This window comes from Homo sapiens, chromosome 1 (assembly GCF_000001405.40).
Source record: "Homo sapiens chromosome 1, GRCh38.p14 Primary Assembly".
Taxonomy (NCBI): domain Eukaryota; kingdom Metazoa; phylum Chordata; class Mammalia; order Primates; family Hominidae; genus Homo; species Homo sapiens.
Window position 1 is genome coordinate 167,786,752 of NC_000001.11, and position 8,749 is coordinate 167,795,500.

At 42.6% G+C, this 8,749-nt stretch overlaps 1 protein-coding gene across 4 annotated transcripts in view, besides 1 other annotated feature; it reads left to right on the plus strand.

Annotated features, from left to right (window-relative positions):
* Nucleotides 1–5,168, plus strand: part of MPZL1 (myelin protein zero like 1) — a 69,938-nt gene extending 64,770 nt beyond the window's left edge. For all 4 annotated transcript variants that reach the window (XM_047433610.1, NM_003953.6, NM_024569.5 and 1 more), the window contains one exon: nucleotides 1,069–5,168. In XM_047433610.1, coding sequence (XP_047289566.1) covers nucleotides 1,069–1,170 — 102 coding nt within the window. In that variant the 3' untranslated portion in view covers nucleotides 1,171–5,168. The remainder of the gene's footprint in view (nucleotides 1–1,068) is intronic.
* Nucleotides 5,832–5,980: a silencer, noted in NCBI's record as "fragment chr1:167761820-167761968 (GRCh37/hg19 assembly coordinates)". NCBI's record gives its function as "represses an EF-1alpha promoter that drives an FKBP-Casp9 reporter gene in an ReSE screen in phorbol 12-myristate 13-acetate-treated (for megakaryocytic differentiation) K562 erythroleukemia cells {active_cell/tissue: K562(+PMA)}" and the evidence as "EXISTENCE:reporter gene assay evidence [ECO:0000049][PMID:32094911]".

Here is an 8,749-nt window from a genome sequence, read left to right on the forward strand (position 1 = left end):
ACCACGTGCTTTTGGCTATTGAGCTTATGATTTCAAAGGTGAAAGCTTAAGCACGTTATTAGACTTCTCAAGGAGAGTTCCCCTAGATTGGGAGAAAAGTTGACATTGGGTAATATTAAATCTTTCTTTTAAAACCAGGGCTATTTTGTTGTTGTTTACAATTTTAAGAGTCTAGACTGAAAGAGTCATGAAATGCAGCCACCTATCTGACCTCTTCCCCCAACAGTTAGGGAATTCGCTCTGCCCCCAGGCCACCCAACCTTCCCTTGCTCTCCTGAATGGGACCCTGACAATTCCCTGGAATTGTAACCTCTTCCTTACTGCTGAGGCTGAGAAGAGGATCTTTTCTACTTTACTCCATTTAGGGTTTTTCTTTATATCTGTGTAGATTGTGGCTTTTTGTTTTTTCTTTTTAATTTTATTTTAAAACAGGAAGAACAGTTATCTGATATTAAAAATCAAGGAAGCAATATTTGTATTGGTCACAATACGCTCAGACTAAAAGAATTATGCTGTAAGTAGTTGTATTGAAGAATATTTGAAGTGCTTTTAAACTATTTGTTTAAAACTATACCTATTTGTATAACGTGACCAGATCAAATTGATTGTATCTTTGGGTGGCACCAAATATGTTGGTTTCTTGCATGGATTGATTATTCTGAAGCTCATGATTTCTGTGGGTCTCAGGTGCGTGGAAGTTCCCATCTTAGTCCTTAAGACTCTTACCCCAATTGTAAGAGCTGAGGAATTCTGTGATAGCTATTAAGATAAGAGATATTCCTAAGAAGGAATATATTATTACAGAAATTTTCAAACATCAAAAAGGTTTGAAAGAATAATGTAACAAAGCCCCATGTACTTGCTTTAACTATTGTCAACGTATGTCCAATCTTGTTTCAAAGTCAGTCCTGGATGTATCATCCATAAGAAGTCTTCCTGAAGACATTCAAGAGGGAAGTCTTTGCTTTGGAACCCTGATGTGATCACGTTAATCATTGCTTCTATGCCTGTAGCTGAAGGAACCGCCAGCGTTTTCAGTCCTCTAATCCTTCTGCTTCCCTTTTCCAGGGCCCAGTCATATATGCACAGTTAGACCACTCCGGCGGACATCACAGTGACAAGATTAACAAGTCAGAGTCTGTGGTGTATGCGGATATCCGAAAGAATTAAGAGAATACCTAGAACATATCCTCAGCAAGAAACAAAACCAAACTGGACTCTCGTGCAGAAAATGTAGCCCATTACCACATGTAGCCTTGGAGACCCAGGCAAGGACAAGTACACGTGTACTCACAGAGGGAGAGAAAGATGTGTACAAAGGATATGTATAAATATTCTATTTAGTCATCCTGATATGAGGAGCCAGTGTTGCATGATGAAAAGATGGTATGATTCTACATATGTACCCATTGTCTTGCTGTTTTTGTACTTTCTTTTCAGGTCATTTACAATTGGGAGATTTCAGAAACATTCCTTTCACCATCATTTAGAAATGGTTTGCCTTAATGGAGACAATAGCAGATCCTGTAGTATTTCCAGTAGACATGGCCTTTTAATCTAAGGGCTTAAGACTGATTAGTCTTAGCATTTACTGTAGTTGGAGGATGGAGATGCTATGATGGAAGCATACCCAGGGTGGCCTTTAGCACAGTATCAGTACCATTTATTTGTCTGCCGCTTTTAAAAAATACCCATTGGCTATGCCACTTGAAAACAATTTGAGAAGTTTTTTTGAAGTTTTTCTCACTAAAATATGGGGCAATTGTTAGCCTTACATGTTGTGTAGACTTACTTTAAGTTTGCACCCTTGAAATGTGTCATATCAATTTCTGGATTCATAATAGCAAGATTAGCAAAGGATAAATGCCGAAGGTCACTTCATTCTGGACACAGTTGGATCAATACTGATTAAGTAGAAAATCCAAGCTTTGCTTGAGAACTTTTGTAACGTGGAGAGTAAAAAGTATCGGTTTTATTCTTTGCTGATGTCCTTTCTGCTTGAAATAACAGTCACCATACAGCTAAAGGAGAGGAGTTTCTTTCCTTCTAAGTAGGCAGAAATGGTATCATTATGTTGCCGCTCTCCAATCTCCCAGAGCTCGCTCTCTAGAGAATCACCTTCTTTCGCTTTTTTTTTTTTTTTTGAGGTAGAGTCTCACTATGTTGCCCAGACTAGCCTTGAACTCTTGGGCTCAAGTGATTCTCCCTCCTCAGCCTCCCGAGTAGCTGGAACGAACTATAGTTGCACCACTGCAGCTGGCAAGAATCACCTTCTTTATAAAGCGTCAGTCATGCTTCCAGCAAGAGGCAGCATCAGTCATGGCTTTATAACAGCTTCATGGTGCCTCAAAGACTGTTGAGGTTAATGAGAGCCTAGATTAGACAGTTTGGCTGTCCTTCCCTAAAACTTGTTTTCTCCTATTCACTACTCCCCACCGCACTTAAAATCTATGAGTTTTTACTTTTTACTGGGAATGGAAAGTGTGGTGAAGATCATTCAACACTTATGTTGTCATTTCTCCCATTTTCTGAATTTTTTTTTAAATTTCCCCCCTTTTAAAATTGTTCGAAAGCCCACAGTTATGGAAAGAATTACTGTCTAGATGGTCTGCAGAACGTGTTTGGGGTGAGTGGGAGTGAGGGGCAATGTTACTTTTTCTCCCTGTAGTTTGGAGTCCATTATGAGCTGCTGCTTTTTCTTCTCATCTTGTCATCTTCTGGGGATGTTTGAAGGCTGAGTTCCAACAGAATTCACAAAGGGAATAAAACAGGATTGAGATTTTGAGGTGTGCACAAGGTGGTAAGATAAAGGGCATATGAGCTTCAAAACTAATGCTGTTGCATACATGAAGCCTTTTGTTTTTTGAGGAGCTATTTTTGTTATTCTTGTAACGCTCCACCTTACATGCCACATCTGTGTGAGTCAACAGGGATCAGGTTTGGTCACCACACATGTCTGAAGCTGGGCAGCGTCTGCTCTGTGTTCTGTGTGGAATGGAGAAAAAAACGCCTGCCCTGCTGCCTTCCATGTTCATAGGCCCAGCCCAAGAGAGTGACACACAGTGCTGGCCCTGAGACATTTCCACAAAGTGGTCAACTCTGCCTTGCATCCTAAAACTTTTTGGGCATCTATTTTGAAAACTATAGGAGCCTTTGGAAGGCCTCTTATGTTTGGAGGGGAAGGGTGTTGAGATTGTCACCATCCTTCAAGCTGAGACTCCTGGTGAGCCTTTGCCACCATGAAAACCACATAGCTGACCAGGGCTGTGCTTGAGGTACAGAGGACACACATTGTAGACAGGCCTGTGTCATGTTTCCTTACAGTCGTTTTTTACAGAGAAAAGGGGCATTGTTTTTTCACTGCTTTCTCAACAGTTCCTGTGAATAAATGAAACATTTCGGAGCTCCCTGAGAGCAAGAGCCTTCACTTCTTCTTGCGGTGCCGGGACCATGTGTTGGTGAAGCTGGTGCTGTGGGGGCCACTCACTCGAATGACACCTGGAGGCCTGTTCCTCCCTTACCACTCCCTTCCCCAGCCCGACTTCTTGGCCTCCTGCCCAACCAGACACCTCAAACTCTGTCAGTGCCCTGGCATTCTGGCAGAGAATCCTCACCAGTTCTCACCAACCTTCCCCCCAGGCAAGGGCAGCTGCCAGCATGGTGCTCTGCCAGGACAGGTTTCCCTGAAGGAAGCTGCTCACACTGAGATGAGCCTCTCAGGGCAGGACCTCTTCCCAAGCCCTGCACACCCACCCCTGCAGCCCTTTTGGCTCCCCTTTTCCCTGTGCCTCAGCACTCCTTTCCTGGTTGCAGATAACGAACTAAGGTTGCCTAAAGGGCAGATCTGCCCTCTCCATGTCTTCGTCCTGGCAAACAGGGTCGTCTTAAAATTATGCGCTAATTCTGTATGGGAGCACTCAAAAGGCATTACTTAGAGATTGAAATTTCAAACTATCTCTAGTTTTTCAATGGAAATATATCAGCTAGGGAAAAACCATCAAGCTCATTATTATTTTTTGATCTTCAGTTGTATTTTTGTGAATATTTTAATACATCTTTTTCAATTTCTGAATTGTGTTGTGTGCTCATTTTGACCAGAATAGAAAAAGAGATATGCCTTTCACTCATATCATTCCAGCTACACCTGCCTTCTTTTCTTCAAAAATGCCGTCCGTGTGCCTGCTTCTGGGCCTTTGCACATGCTGTTCCCTGGGCCTGAAGCATGCCTTCTGCCAATATTCCTGTGGTTTGCTCTCTGACTTCCTTTAAGCCTCTGCTCAAATGTTACCTCCTCAGGGAGACCTTCTGTGATATATAAAAGAGCAAGCCCCCCACCCCACCGCCTCAGCCTTCCTGGCCCCCTCAGTTCTGCTCTAGTTACTCTATTTCTCTCCCTCTTTCCCAGTACACACTTGTCTGTTCTCCCGCATTAGAACATAGTTAACAAGAGACCAGAACCTTGCTGTTTTGTTCACTGCTCCGTCTGCAGTAAAGGGAACAGCACCTGGCACTTAGCTGCTCAATACATGTTACGTGGATGGATGAGTAGGTGGAAGCATTCATCCATTCAGCAACCTACACTGAGAACAATCCTGTGCCAAGCACTGTGCTAAGCATAAGGAAACAAAACAAGACAAAGCTCCTCAAGGAGCTTGCCACAGGGTGGAGGTGACAGGTGACATGAATGGAAGTAACTAGTAGTTACCAAATACTTGGTGTGAGCCAGGCACTTTGCATTTCTTTCTCTATTATTTCTGTGAGTTAACAGTAATTGTACTAATCTTAATCCCATTGTTTGAAAGATTATATGGCTTACCCAGGGCCACTTAGCTAATAAAGGAACAGAGAAGAGGGGCTGGGCCTGGGGCCGCTGTTTGATCCACAGCCTTGTTCCTAACCACTATGCCCTGTGGCCTCTCACACCAAAAGGAAGTACCAAACTGCTTCCTTACTCAAATAAATGTGCTGAAATGCAGTTGCAGTTTTCTCCCAGTCCCTTAGGAGCTGGTTAGAGAGTCCCTTAGGAACTTGAGAGGGTAGTGTAGTCTAGGTGGTAGGCACAGATGTCTGAGAGCTTTAACCTCAGTCTGGAAGACAATGTGGTGACTTAATTTGTTGAGAACTATGTTACAAATAATGTGTTACTAATAAAACATTGAGGCTTCGCAGTGACTTAGTAATTTTATAAATTACCATGGATTCACAATGAGCCCCTGCCTTGCATAACTTTGGGCTTGCAAAACCTAATGCGTTCTTGAGTGGGAGAAGATGAGTTACAGCTGGCAGGAACTCCCCTGGGAGTAATTCTCACATGTGAACAGCATCCATCTTGCGTGATGTGACAAAAAGAAAAGGGATGCTTCCTTCACCACACAAGGGCAGCAGTGAGTGATGGAATCACATTTTTGTCATCTCTGCAATTCCTTCCAAGTCAGCACTAAGTGTCGGAGGGCATCCACCTGCTGGGGCTCTGGTTTCCAAGCTACATAGGGGCCTTGCCAACCAAAGATGGACTTTTTATTTATGAGAGCAGCTTCCACCCCTGAGGGAGCTGAGTTGAGCAGTGTTTAGAGGAAACTCAGATACTCTCTCACCCCAGTTGGCTCCCTTCTGACCCCTCTGGGTAGTTCCTGTGCTAACTGGACTGGGGAACCACTGACTTCATCCTCCCACTGTGCAGGAAAGGCGAGGGAGCAGCCACGGGGAGGAAAGTGGCATCTGTGGTATTGGTAGAGCTGGTGGTAGGAGCCAACCATCTGCTTTTATGGCGGGTTCTCCCCTGCACTTTCCTCTTGCATAGTCAAGATATTGTATGAACAATTTCAATATATTTTGTTTTTTTGTAGAATTACTTTAATGAAATTACCCTTTGATATAATTTGAAAAAAATTTTTTTTTGAGACAGTCTTGCTCTGTCATCCAGGCTGGAGTGCAGTGGCATGATCTTGCCTCACTGCAACCTCCACCTCCTAGGTTCCAGCGATTCTCCCACCTCAGCCTCCCCAGTAGCTGGCATTACAGGCACGCGCCACCACACCCGGCTAATTTTTTGTATTTTTAGTAGAGATGCCCGCCTCAGTCTCCCAAAATGCTGGGATTACCGGTGTGAGCCACTAGGCCCAGCCCCTTTGACATAATTCTATCAGCCTACATTGAAGTATGTCATAAAAAAGAGTCCTAGGAAACTAGCTACTTATTGTACTTTACTGCCAGCATGGCTTTGAGAACGTTATTCCCTGTCATACATTTTTCAATGTTATAAAGACCCACAGCACAAATATCTCTCTGGATTTAATACCAGATGATATGGTTGAGATCTGTGTCGCAGCCTAAATCTGTCGAATTGTGATACCCAGCATTGGAGGTGAGGCCTGGTGGGAGGTGATTGGATCACAGTGGGTAGATTTCTAATGAATGGTTTAGCACCGTCCTCCTTGGTACTGTTCTCGTGATTGTGAGTTCTCATGGGACCTGTTTGTTTAAAAGTATGCAGCACCCTCCCACTCTGCTCTCTCGCTCCTCCTCCCGCCACGTGAGACGCCTCATGAGAAGCCTCACTACCCCTTTGCCTTCCGCCATATTTGGAAGCTTTCTGGGGCCTCACCAGAAGCCAAAGACGCTATGCTTCCTGTGTAACCTGCAGAACGGTGAGCCAATTAAACCTCTTTTCTTCATAAATTACCCAGTCTTGGGGTTTTGTTTTTGTTTGTTTTTTGTTTGTTTGTTTGTTTTTTGAGATGGAGTCTCACTCTGTCGCCCAGGCTGGAGTGTAGTAGCACGATCTCGGCTCACTGCAACCTCCACCTCCTGGGTTCAAGCGATTCCCCTGCCTCAGCCTCCTGGGTAGCTGGGATTACAGGCATGCGCCACCATTCCCGGCTAATTTTTTTTTGTATTGTAGCGGAGATAGGGTTTCACCATGTTGGCCAGGCTGGTCTCGAACTCCTGACCTCAGGTGATCTGCCCGCCTTGGCCTCCCAAAGTGCTGGGATTACAGGCGTGAGCCACCACACCTGGCCTTCAGTCCCAGGTATCTTTTATAGCAGCGTGAAAACAAGTAATACACCAGGAAAACTGTTTCTTATGAATATTTTGTTTCAAACTAGTCATGTGCACTGACTTGTCACTGATTGTATTTGTCTCTTTGCTTTTGCTATTCTCTAGGTCCTAGCCAAATTTGTGGGTCACTTTCTACCACTGTACACAGATTGTACACTCCATATACACTTTGTACATTAACTTTACTCATAGCTTTATGTGTATCTTGGATTATGTTCAGCTCTATGATCTGTCTCAGTTTTTTCCAGTGATACAATAATAGATGTGTCCTGATTTAGATAGAGAAAGTAGGTAGGCAGAGATTCTGGCCATGGCATCAGAGATTCATAATGCCAACCACAGACTTACTCTTGACTCCACAAAAACCATTTCACAAATTCCTATTGTTGCCCAAAAGAGGTGAAAATAAAAGTATATGACTGGCTGAGTGTAACAAAACTACATGACAGGAATTACGACTCACATACAGCCTGGAGTCACCTTTCTGTTACACCCTGTTCATCAGTGATGGAAAGGCAGCTTCCTATGTGCTGAAAGTTCATCTCTCTTATTGCAGGTATGATTTCCACTGGTATTAATGAGCTTGAAATATGAAGGCCACTTAAATTTCCCAGAGGTGTCAAGTGATGTGGGGATTTCAGAGCATGTATCAACTCACTTCAGCAATATTAGCATTTTTGTTTGAAATACCCAGTTAGACAGGAAACTTGAAAGATAATTGTTTCAATTATTTGTATCATCATACTGAAAATTGCTTAAAACGTTCTGGTTGTTCCTTGAAGACATTAAAAGAATAGATCCTATTAATGCCCCATAGGTTATTTGATCCTTTTGGAAATGAAAAGATTGACTGATGATTGATTGAATTTTCTGCTTTTTATTAAATTGGTGAGATGGCAAAAAAAGAAAAATGTAAACATATACAAAAGAAGAGAGAATAGTAAAATCAACCTGCATACACTTATTATCTTCAATACTTATTTTATCCAGCCCCTTTTTTCTTTTTTCCTCTTTTCTGAATTATTTTAAAACAAATCCCAAAATCATGTAAGTGCACCCCTACATTCTTCACTGTGCATCTTTTAAAAATGTGGACATTTTCTTACATAATCACAATATCTTGTCACATTTAACAAAAACCTGTCCTAAAACACATTTTTTACAAACAAAATCCTTGGTTTTATATATTATTACCCAGTTAATATTCAAGTTTCCCTTGTCTTAAAAAATGGCATTTTACAAGTGGTTTCTTCCAGTCAGGATCCAAACATAGTTCTGGTAAAGTTTTTTTTTTTTTTTTTTTTTTGCCTATTTTTAAACCCAAAATGGGATCATGGTGCTCTGCAGTTTGCTTTCTTCCCTTAGCATTATGGCAGAGAAGTTTCAGCATGAAGAACTAGGTCATTAGATAATAGCACCTGCAGGACTTTGTCTTTTGTAGATGCGCCGGAATATTTTAAACCATTTCTTTTTTTCTTTCTATTTTAAACAGAGTTTCACTCTTGTTGCCCAGGCTGGAGTGCAATGGCGTGATCTCAGCTCACCACAACCTCCACCTCCCAAGTTCAAGCGATTCTCCTGCCTCAGCCTCCCAAGCTGGGATTACAGGCATGCGTCACCATGCCCTGCTAATTTGGTATTTTTAGTAGAGACAGGGTTTCTCCATGTTGGTCAGGCTGGTCTCAAACTC